Genomic DNA, 12,040 nt, shown 5'->3' with positions numbered 1-12,040 from the left:
GGAGGTGAGGGGCACCTCTGCCCGGCCACCCCTACTGGGAAGTGAAGAGCCCCTCTGCCCGGCCGCCACCCCGTCTGGGAGGTGTACCCAACAGCTCATTGAGAACGGGCCATGATGACAATGGCGGTTTTGTGGAATAGAAAGGGGGGAAAGGTGGGGAAAAGATTGAGAAATCGGATGGTTGCCGTGTCTGTGTAGAAAGAAGTAGACATGGGAAACTTTTCATTTTGTTCTGTACTAAGAAAAATTCTTTGGCCTTGGGATCCTGTTGATCTGTGACCTTACCCCCAACCCTGTGCTCTCTGAAACATGTGCTGTGTCCACTCAGGGTTAAATGGATTAAGGGCGGTGCAAGATGTGCTTTGTTAAACAGATGCTTGAAGGCAGCATGCTCGTTAAGAGTCATCACCACTCCCTAATCTCAAGTACCCAGGGACACAAACACTGCGGAAGGCCGCAGGTTCCTCTGCCTAGGAAAACCAGAGACCTTTGTTCACTTGTTTATCTGCTGACCTTCCCTCCACTATTGTCCCATGACCCTGCCAAATCCCCCTCTGTGAGAAACACCCAAGAATGATCAATAAAAATAAAAAAAGAAAAAAAAAAGAAAAGAAAAACTGAGCTTTCAAGTTAAATTTAGATGTTTGCGAAAATCAGCACTCATCACTATGAGCTTGCGAGCTCCCCACGTAACTGGGGGTGATGTTAATAAATGTGATTTTTTTTATTTTTTATCCCATATTTCATTATATATCAATATTTGGAAGACTCACATACTTGGTAAACCAATATTTTCCAAATGACCAACAAAGATGATAGAAATTATACTTGAGTAAAAGATCCATTCAAGGTACAAGACTTTGGGAGGCCAAGGCGGGGGTCACCAGAGGTTAGGAGTTCGAGACCGGGCTGGCCAACATGGTGAAACCCCATCTCTACTAAAAAATACAAAAATTAGCTGGGTGTGGTGGCAGGTGCCCGTAGTCCCAGCTACTCAGGAGGCTGAGGCAGGACAATCAATTGAACCCAGGAGGCGGAGGTTGCAGTGAGCCGACATCACACCACCGCACTCTAGTCTGGGTGACAGTGAGACTCCGTCTCAAAAACAAAACAAAACAAAAAAAGTGCAAAGAAGACAAATGAATTTTAATGTAACCAAGGATGAAAAATTCACTGATATATTTCATTCAAATTCTACATTGCAACTAACCTTTGAGAAACTACCACTTGTTGAATTTTAGTGTGGTTATCAAAGAAAAACATCCATGATTATCTGAAGACTATTAAAATCCTCCTTTCTTTTCCAATTATATATGTGTGTGAGGCTGAATTTTCTTCATATACTTCAACAAAAACGACATATTGCAAGATTAAATGTAGAAGCAAATATGAGAACCTAGCCATCTTTAAGTAAGCCAGACATTAGATATTGCTGCCAAAATATAAAACAATACACTCTTATTATTAAATGTTTTAGTTTTAGGACAAGCAGTTGTTTTCATAAAAATATATAACTTATTTAATGGGTTTATGTTTTTAATAAATTAGGGAATATTTTTTATCAGTTTTATTTTATTTTTTTGAGACACAGCCTCACTCTGTCGCCCAGGCTGGAGTACAGTGGTGTGATCACAGCTCACTGCAGCCTCAAATTCGTGGGCTCAAAAAAATCCTCCCACCTCAGCCTCCTGAGTAGCTAGGACCACAGGTGCACACCACCACATCCAGTTAACTTTTGTATTGTGTGTAGAGACAGGGTTTCGCCACGTTAGCCAGGCTGGTCTCGAACTCCGAGGCTCAAGTGATCCACCCCTGCTCAGCCTCCTGAAGTAGCTGGGATTACAGGTGTCAGCCACTGCACCCAGCCAGTTTTAATTTCTAATATGGTAAATATCAACAGATAACCACAAAAACAAAAGTTCCTTTGGACCTTCAATAATTTTTATGAATATAAAGGAGCCCTGAAACAATAAAGTTCAAAAATCACAGACATATACTAACTCTCTAAAATGTAAATCTATCTATCTTTCCTTCTTTCTTTATTTTGAAAAGGAGTCTCACTCTCACCCAGACTGCAGTGCAGTGGCGCAATCTTGGCTCACTGCAACCTCCCTCGAACTAGGCTCAAGCAATCCTTCCACCTCAGACTCTTGAGGAGCTGGGACTACAGGCGCATGCCGCCATGCCCGGCTAACTTTTTGTACTTTTTGAAGAGACAGGGTTTCCCAATGTTGCCCAGGTTAGTCTCGAAAACTCCTGGGCCCAAGTGATCTGCCTGCCTCAGCCTCCCAAAGTACTGGGATTAAAGGCATGAGCTACAGCACCCAGCCAAATGTAAATCTTAAATAACTATTTTATTAAGGTATATAGGATAAATTTCCACAGTAAAAGCACAGTGTTCCATTTCACATATACTGTTAAGGTTTTTAACCAAACTTTAAAAATATCTTTAAAATCATAAAACGCCATATATGCTAGACAAATATGGCAGTTTTTTTTAATTCCACTTTATTATGATTCAAAATGCATAATGGATACAAAAATCTAACAACAAAAAAGAACAATCAAAGCATCCGAATTCCTGAAAGGCTGGTGCCAATTTTATCAATACCATTAACAAAAATGAGTGGTGTTGGGCATTTCACTTCCTTTCTTTCTACCTTTTCTCATAAAGATGAGAAAACGAGAATGGTAACTAAACTGATTAAGTTTCCAAGGAATGATAAGAATATTGTCAAATCAACACTAGTAAGGGGGGTTGGTATAAAATGATTAAAAAGCAACTATCAGATTGAAAGCAGAAACTTGAACAGATATTTGTATGCCAATGTTCATGGCGGCATGATTCACAGTAGCCAAAAGGTGAAACCAATATAAATGACTTTTTTTTTTTTTTTTGAGACAGGGTTTCCCTCTGTCTTTCGGGCTGGAGTGCAGAGACGTGATCACAACTCACTGCAGCCTTGAACTCCTAGGCTCAAGCTATACTCCCACCTCAGCCTCCCAAATAGCTGAGACTACAGGTGCGTACCACCAGGCTAGCTAATTTTTTTTTTTTAATTTTTGGTACAGACAGGGTCTTATTATATTGCCCAGGCTGGTCTCAAACTCCTGGGCTCAGGCAATCTTCCCACCTCAGCCTCCCAAAGGGCTGGAATTACAGGTGTGAGCCACCACACCCAGCAACAACCCAAATGTCCACTGATGGATGAACGGGTAAACAAAATGTGGTATATGTACACACACACACACACACACACACACACACACACACACACGCACACAGAATGAAATATCATTCAGCCTTAAAAGGGAGAGTAATTCTGGTACATGCTACCAAACGGATGAACTCTGAGGACATTATGCTAGGTGAAATAAGCCAGTCACAAAAAGACCAATACCTTATGACTCCAGTGATATAAGGGACCAAGAGTAGATAGCAGTAGGATTCATAGAAACAGTAAGTAGAAGGGTGAGTGCCAGGGGCTGAGGGGAGGGGAAATAAAGAGTTAGTGTTTAATGGGTATAGAGTTTTAGTTTTGTAAGATGAAAAGAGTTCTGAAGGCAAATGGTTGCAAAATAATGTGAATGTACTTTAATATCACTGAACTGTACACTTTAAAAATGGTAAAAATGGGCTGGGCACAGTGGCTCACACCCATAATCCCAACACATTGGGAGGCTGAGGCAGGAGGATGGCTTGAACCTAGGAGTTTCAGACCAGCATGGACAATATAGCAAGACCCCGTCGTTACAAAAAATAAAAAAATCAGCCAGACATGGAGATGCACACCTGTAGTCCCAGCTACTTGGAAGGCTGAGGTGGGAGGATTGCTTGAGCCCGGGAACTCAAGGCTACAGCGGGCCATGATCACACCACTGTACTTCAGCCTGGGTGACAGAGTGAGACCCCATCTCAAAAAAAAAAATAAGGTAAAATTGGTAAATTTAATGGTATATATATTTCCCCTCAATTTAAAAAATGAGATAAGTTGGTTAAAAAGCAACTATTCATATAAAGTCTTTCAATAACAGATTGAAAGTAAATATTACTCTGCTTGTCATTATGATGTTTTTTACCCTGAGCACTGTTAACACAGGCCCAAGGGCAATCCTGGGTGTTTTCATTAAGAATAAATAATGCTGACCTCCACAGATATTATTAGAAACAAACCTGTTTCTAATAATTACAGCTTATTTTCAGAACATTCCTGTATATCAGTACAAAACCCATACCTGCTTTTAGGATATTAGAATCTCAAACCAAAGAATACATGTGTCTAATTGAATTAATGACCTGCTAGGGTTCTAGATGCCAGTAATGAAACACATAAGATGCTTCCCACTCTAGCTTCCATACGATCCAGTTCTAATGGCAAAGAAGGAGCCCCAGAACTTGCTTGGAAAGTTCAACCTAGGGACAGGATGGTGTATCAGGTATGTTAGATACCCATAGATTAATCAACCAATAAATCTTCATTAAACAGCTATTAATATTATTAATATTATACACAAGGCCCCTGTGCTGTGTTCTCTCCCTCTCTTGTCCCCAATTAGATATTCTACTTTCTAACTTATTTTCACTACAATTTGTTTTGTGTTATCTGATTCCTATTTTCCACCAACACAGATAAAATTTACCATCGGGAGTGGAGAGGTAAAAAAGCATTTTTGGTTTGTTTTGTTTTCTAAACCGTTTGAATTAACGTTAGAGACTGGAGATAAATTAGGGAAGATATTTTCCACTTACACAATTTTAACAGAAACATATTCATTACAAGTTGTAAGAATGCAACCACTCTGGAAAATAGTTTGGTATTACTAGTATTACTGAAGACGTGAATACCCTGCAAATAGCATTCCCACTCCTGAGTGTGTGCACCACAACACATTGTCTGTGAGTGCTCAAGGGGAGGTAGATATAAGGTATTCACATACAAAGTATTCACAGCAGCAGGGTTTACATCAGCTCCAAACTGAAAACAACAGAGACCCTTACCAGTAGTTCTGCTTTTGCCCTTTGCCTTGTGATCTTTGTTGGACCCTTATCAGTAGTTCTGCTTTTGCCCTTTGTCGTGTTCCCTGAGAAGCATGTGATCTTTATTAGACCCTTATTAGTAGTTACGCTTTTTACCCTTTGAAGCATGTGATCTTTGTACCTACTCCCTGTTCTTACAACCCCTCCCCTTTTGAAATCCTTAATAAAAACTTGCTGGTTTGAGGCTCAGGCGGGCATCACGGTCCTACCGACATGTGATGTCATGCCCAGAGGCCCAGCTGTAAAATTCCTCTCTTTATACTGCTGCCTTTATTTCTCAGCCGGCCAACACTTACGGAAAATAGAACCTACATTGAAATTCCTGTTTCCACTCTGGCTGGTGAGTCAATTGCTCAATTACTTTTACTACCTAATATTGTTTTAAACAAAGGAGATAAGACACGGGGTCCTAGGATGGGCTCTGACAGTGAAAAAGCCACTTATTGGATTAATGTAATTTCTGAACAACAGCCCACCTGCACCATACACATTCAAGGAAAAAAGTTTAAGGGCCTACTAGATACTGGGTCTGATGTTTCTATTATTTCCTCTAATTTATGGCCTTCCTCCTGGCGTAAACATCCCACTAACATATAACTAGCAGGGATTGGAAAAGCTGATGAAGTTCACCAGAGCACATTTATCTTGCCTTGCACTGGCCCTGAGGGTCAAAAGGGTAAAATTCAGCCTTATATCATGCCAATCTCCACTAATATTTGGGGTAGAGATTTGCTGACACAGTGGGGGGCTGAAATTAATATTCCACATAACTCTTACAGTGCTCCCAGTCAAAATATAATGGAAAACATGGGGTTTGTTCCCGGACTCGGTCTCGGTCCAAGACATGAAGGAATTACTAAACCTCTTCAAGTTACTGTAGAAGAGGGCTGGTTTAGGTCATCCTTTTCAATGACAGCCACTGCTATGCCTCCCTACAATGAAAATCTGAAACACCTGTTTGGATTGAGCAGCGGCCGCTCTCTCAAGAAAAACTGGAGGCTTTAACTCAATTGGTTGCTAAACAGTTACAACTTGGAAATGTGGAACCTTCTCTCTCCCCCTGGAAGTCTCCTGTGTTTCTAGTAAAAAAGAAATCAGGCAAGTGGAGGATGGTAACTGATTTAAGGGCCATTAATGCTGTAATTAAACCTATGGGAGCTGTCCAACCCAGGATGCCTGCCCCTGCTTTAATACCTAAGAATTGGCCTCTCATAGTTACTGATCTTAAAGACTATTTCTTTCATATTGCTTTACATAAATCGAATTGTGAAAAATTTGCTTTTACTGTACCATCTATCAATAATCAGGAGCCTGCAGCTCGTTATCAATGGAAAGTACTTCCTCAGGGAGTGCTGAATAGCCCTACCATCTGCCAGCTTTATGTTGGACAGGTGCTTTCACTACTTTGAGCTCAATTTCCCCAGGCCTATATTCTTCATTATATTGATGATATATTAATCGCTGCCCCCACTGATAAAGAATTGACTGTTAACAATTTTTGAGCCATTGTGTTAAAGAGGCTGGATTACACATCGCTCAGGATAAAATTCAACAGACCACTCCTGTTCAATATTTAGGAATGGTGTTCAATAAAGAATATATTCAACCTCAAAAGGTTCAGATTAGGAGAGATTCTTTGAAAACCTTAAATGATTCCAAAAACTTTTAGATAACATTAATTAAGACCTACTTTAGGCATTTCAACATACGCGCCATCTAACTTGTTTTCTATGCTGTGTGGAGATTCCAATCTCTGCAGTCCCAGGACTTTCACCCCTGAGGCTTCACTAGAACTGGAATTCATGGAGTAAAGAATCCAAACTGCCCAGTTGTCTAGGGTACAGCCGTCTCAGCCTTTTCAGCTTCTGGTTTTCGCTTCATTGCACTCCCCTACTGGGCTAATAGTTCAACATAATGACTTAGTGGAGTGGTGTTTTCTTCCTCATTCTGTGTCAAAAACTTTGTCTGTTTATCTGGACCAAATGGCCACCCTAATTGGACAAGCTCGGTGTAGAATACTTAAATTTTCCAGATTTGATCCGAATTTAATTGTGGTTCCTTTAAATCAACTCGAAGTTCAGGCCACTTTTCAACATTCCATACTGTGGCAAATTCACTTGGCTGATTTTATCAGTGTTGTTGACAATCATTATCCAAAAAAAAAAAAACTGTTTGATTTTATAAAAATGACTTCTTGGGTGGTCACTTGATTGACCAAAGATCAGCCCATTCCTGAGGCCATTACAGTGTTCACTGATGGCTCCAGTAACAGAAATGCTGGTTATGTGGGTCCTACAGACAAGCTTATTTCTAACCCTTATACCTCTGCTCAAAAGGTAGAGTTAATTGCTGTAATTATTGCCTTACAGGATTTCCCCAAACCTTTAAATATTGTCTCTGATTCTGCTTATGTTGTACATGCCACTAAAAATATAGAAACCGCTACTATCAAACATATTGGTAATTCTGAATTGGCTTCTTTATTTTCAAGGTTACAACAGGCGGTTCGCCAACGTAGACACCCTTTCTATATTACACATATTAGATCTCATACCACTCTACTGGGACCCATGTCTGCTGGTAACGATAAGGTCGACTGGTCTCTATTGCAATCCGAGAAGCTCAGGAGTTCCATAATCTCACTCATGTCAATGCTGCTGGATTAAAAGATAAATTTGCTCTCACCTGGAAGGAGGCTAAGCTTATTGTCCACCACTGCCCTCAGTGCCAAGTTTTTGTACTTCCAAATCAGGAACCTGGCATTAATCCCAGAGACCTAACTCCTAATGATTTATGGCAAATGGATGTGACTCATGTTAGCTCCTTTGGCAGAATTTCACATGTACATGTTTCTGTAGACACCTTTTCAGGTTTTATTTGGGCTACTTGCCAAACGGGAAGGCACAGCCAATATTAAAAGACATCTGTATTCTTGCTTTGCAGTTATGGGGCTTCCATATCAAATAAAGACAGACAATGCCCCTGGATATGTTAGTAAGGCTTTTGATTTATTTATGCAACAATGGGGAATTTCCCGTATTACCAGAGTAACTTACAATCCTCAGGGACAAGCTGTGGCGGAACAGGCCAATTGCACTTTAAAAACTCAATTGTCCAAACAGTCTGAGCAACAAAAGCATAATTTAACCACTCCCCACTCCCAGTTACATTTAGCATTGTTTACTTTAAACTTTCTAAATGTTCCTAAAGACATACTCTGACTGCAGCTGAACAGGCAAAAAATTCTCCCTAAATGAAGGCAAGCCAGTGTTAGGGAAAAACTCCCAGACCAATACCTGGGAAGCTGGAACAATTACAACGTGGGGAAGAGGGTATGCTTGTGTTTCACCAGGAGATCATCAATCCCCTGTCTGGGTGCCCACTAGGAGACTTAAACTTCGTGTGAATACTGACAATAAAAACCATAGGGAAGAGACGTCTGCGTCAGAGACCACCTTCATACCTGGTGAGATCTGTGCCGACTCCTCAGAAACTGGCACGCCAAATTAAAATGGGTGTGGTTCAATCCTCCCTAATGGCAACAGAGACCCCTCTAACTAATCCCACTTCTCCTAATTCCCTTTTTCTCCTTAAGAACCTAAAAATCTCACCATTTCTATTAGCCTGAAAATAACATCCCCCTGTTCTTCTCTTCCTCCTTTAGCACTGGATCTCGCTTATAATAGGTTTTATTTAATAATTCTCCCCCTTACACTTTGTCTTACCAGTTTCCCCTCAAACTGATTTACCTGCTACACAAAATTATTCTTATTAGGCTTATGTGCTTTTTCCCCCACTTATTCAATCTCTCACCTGGATGGATGCTCCTGTGGAAATCTATGCTAACGATATCGTGTGTGGCTGCCTGGAGCTACAGATGAACATTGCCCTGCTCAACCAGGAAAAGAAAGCACTGCATTTAATGTTACTATGGGTTATAAATGCCCTCCTCTGGGCTTTGGACATGCACCTGGTTGTATCCATCTAGAAACTCAAGTCTGGGCTGCTTACCTTCTGGAGAGATCAGCCACAAGGGAATGGGGACATTTGGTCTCCGGCCTCTCCCTTTCTCCTTTAAGACAAATGAAAGGGGGAGTAATAGGAGATACCCCATACCTTCAATATAAACCTGTAGGAAAACCATGTCCTAAAAATTTTGAGGGCCCATCTAAAACTTTAATTTGGGAAGATTGTGTTAATTCACATGCAGTAGTATTAAAAAAAATGACTCATATGGTTTAGTAATAGACTGGGCACCAAAGGGCTATTTAAAAAACGATTGCTCCTCTGGCAGAAGGGAATGCCTGGAGGCTACTTATTTTATATTTCTTATTGGGATGACGAGGATCATCATCCTACTTGGCATAGGAGGTTCAGCTCGTCCTTTTCCTTAAAACAGGAAGATAAGGGCATTACCCCCCACCCCGACCGAGGCCTAGTATGGATACTCCCCATTCCGAGCCCAGAACACCCAGAACTTTGGAAATTGGCTATTGCCATGTCCAGACTGCAAGTATGGGAAGGGGAAACGTTTCTGTCTGTTGTCCCCACTACCGCCCCTTGCATCCGTGATTCTGAACTCCATGATAAATCCCCTTTGAACCTTTTCCCTCTTTTTGATGCTGATCCTCCTTTATGGGACTCCAATTGGCATTATGATAATTCTTCTTGACCCAGGTATGCTCCTCTACCTGTTCGGCATCCCCGGGCACCTAGGATTGCTTCTTTGTGGCGCAGAACATTGGGCATTGCCACTGCCGCTCCTCTCCCTCAGTATCAACGTAGACTCAAACATTCTGCTTTGTTTACCGCCAACCTGACTACTCCTATACAGAGTTGTGTTAAGCCTCCTTACATGCTGTTAGTGGAAAATATCAAAATTTGGACGAACAATCAAACTGTCCAATGCATTAATTGTCATTTATACACTTGTGTTAACTCCCGTTTTGACTCCAGGAAAAGTATAATGTTGGTTCGAGATCAAGAAGGAATCTGGATACCATGTGCCAGACCAGTCAAAGAATCCTGTGTCAAAACTGGGAGAACGAACAAGCCTTCATCGCCATGGCACATTTATATAAAAAGAAAGGGAGAGATGTTGCGGGAAGTCAGGGACCCCAAACGGAGGGACCGGCTGGAGCTGCGGCAGAGGAACATAAATTGTGAAGATTTCATTTTAATATGGACATTTATCAGTTCCCAAATAATACTTTTATAATTTTTTATGCCTGTCTTTAATCTCTTAATCCTGTTATCTTTGTAAGCTGAGGATGTACGTCACCTCAGGACCACTGTGATAATTGTGTTAACTGTACAAATTGATTGTAAAACATGTGTGTTTGAACAATATGAAATCAGTGCACCTTGAAAAAGAACAGAATAACAGCGATTTTTAGGGAACAAGGGAAGACAACCATAAGGTCTGACTGCCTGCGGGGTCAGGCAGAATACAGCCATATTTTTCTTCTTGCAGAGAGCCTATAAATGGATGTGCAAATAGGAGAGGTATCGCTAAATTATTTTCCTAGCAAGGAATATTACATATTAAGACCCTAGGAAAAGAATTGCATTCCTAGGGGGAGGTCTATAAACGGCCGCTCTGGGAATGTCTGTCTTATGCGGTTGAGATAAGGACTGAGATACGCCCTGGTCTCCTACAGTACCCTCAGGCTTACTAGAGTGGGAAAAAACTCCGCCCTGGTAAATTTGTGGTCAGACCAGTTCTCTGCTCTCAAACCCTGTTTTCTGTTGTTTAAGATGTTTATCAAGATAATACGTGCACCGCTAAACATAGAACCTTATCAGTAGTTCTGCTTTTGCCCTTTGCCTTGTGATCTTTGTTGGACCCTTATCTGTTGTGGGAAGTCAGGCACCCCGAACAGAGGGACCAGCTGGAGCCGTGGCAGAGGAACATAAATTATGAAGATTTCGTGGACATATATCAGTTCCTAAAATTAATACTTTTATAATTTCTTAAGCCTGTCTTTACTGCAATCTCTGAACATAAACTGTGAAGATTTCATGGACATTTATCACTTCCCTAATAATACTCTCATAATTTCTTATGCCTGTCTTACTTTAATCTTTTAATCCCGTTATCTTCGTAAGCTGAGGATGTACATCACCTCGGGACCCTGTGATGATTGCGTTAACTGTACAAACTGATTGTAAAACATGTGTGTTTGAACAATATGAAATCAGTGCACCTTAAAAAAGAACAGAATAACAGCGATTTTAGGGAACAATGCAAGACAACCATAAGGTCTGACTGCCTGCGGGGTCAGGCAGAATACAGCCATATTTTTCTTCTTGCAGAGAGCCTATAAATGGACGTGCCAAGTAGGAGAGATACCACTAAATTCTTTTCCTAGCAAGTAATATTAAATATTAAGACCCTAGGAAAAGAAATGCATTCCTAGGGGGAGGTCTATAAACGGCCGCTCTGGGAGTGTCTGTCCTATGCGGTTGAGAAAAGGACTGAGATACACTCTGGTCTCCTGCAGTACCCTCAGGCTTACTAGGATTGGGAAACACCAGCCCTGGTAAATTTCAGGTCAGACTGGTTCTCTGCTCTCGAACCCTGTTTTCTGTTAAGATGTTTATCAAGATAATACGTGCACTGCTGAACACAGACCCTTATCAGGAGTTTCTGATTTTGCCTTGTCCTGTTTCCTCAGAAGCATGTGATCTTTGCTCTGCTTTTTTGCCCCTTAAAGCATGTAATCTTTTCCCTGTTCATACACTCCCTCCCCTTTTGAAATCCCTAATAAAAACTTGTTGGTTTTGAGGCTCAGGGGGCATCATGGACCTACCAATATGTGATGTCATCTCCGGCAGCCCAGCTGTAAAATTCCTCTCTTTGTACTCTTTCTCTTTATTTCTCAGACCGGCTGACACTTAGGGAAAATAGAAAGAACCTACGTTGAAATATTGGGGGTGGGTTCCCCCGATACTTATCAGTAGTTCTGCTTTTGCCCTTTGTCCTGTTCCCTCAGAAGCATG

General features: G+C 41.2%; 1 protein-coding gene and 1 long non-coding RNA gene across 16 annotated transcripts in view; one reads left to right on the top strand and one right to left on the bottom strand.

Annotated features, from left to right (window-relative positions):
- Positions 1-12,040, bottom strand: part of TULP4 (TUB like protein 4) — a 279,634-nt gene that overhangs the window by 203,226 nt on the left and 64,368 nt on the right. Inside the window, exon 3 of one of the 12 annotated variants that reach the window (XM_047419085.1) lies at positions 9,050-9,110. The exons of the other annotated variants lie outside the window; for them this stretch is intronic. The gene's annotated coding sequence lies outside the window, so the exon portion shown is untranslated. The remainder of the gene's footprint in view (positions 1-9,049; positions 9,111-12,040) is intronic. 12 annotated transcript variants of the gene reach the window in all.
- LOC124901447 (uncharacterized) lies at positions 5,231-11,831 on the top strand. Of its 4 annotated transcripts, none has more exons than XR_007059833.1 (2): positions 5,231-5,378; positions 9,995-11,831. It is a non-coding gene; the product is annotated as an uncharacterized LOC124901447 (long non-coding RNA). The 4 variants fall into 4 exon arrangements; XR_007059835.1 differs by having other exon boundaries at positions 8,425-11,831; XR_007059832.1 differs by having other exon boundaries at positions 8,391-11,831.

This window comes from Homo sapiens, chromosome 6 (genome assembly GCF_000001405.40).
Source record: "Homo sapiens chromosome 6, GRCh38.p14 Primary Assembly".
NCBI lineage: Eukaryota > Metazoa > Chordata > Mammalia > Primates > Hominidae > Homo > Homo sapiens.
The sequence above is the reverse complement of the archived record's forward strand: the minus strand, read 5'-3'. Positions and strand labels throughout refer to the sequence as shown.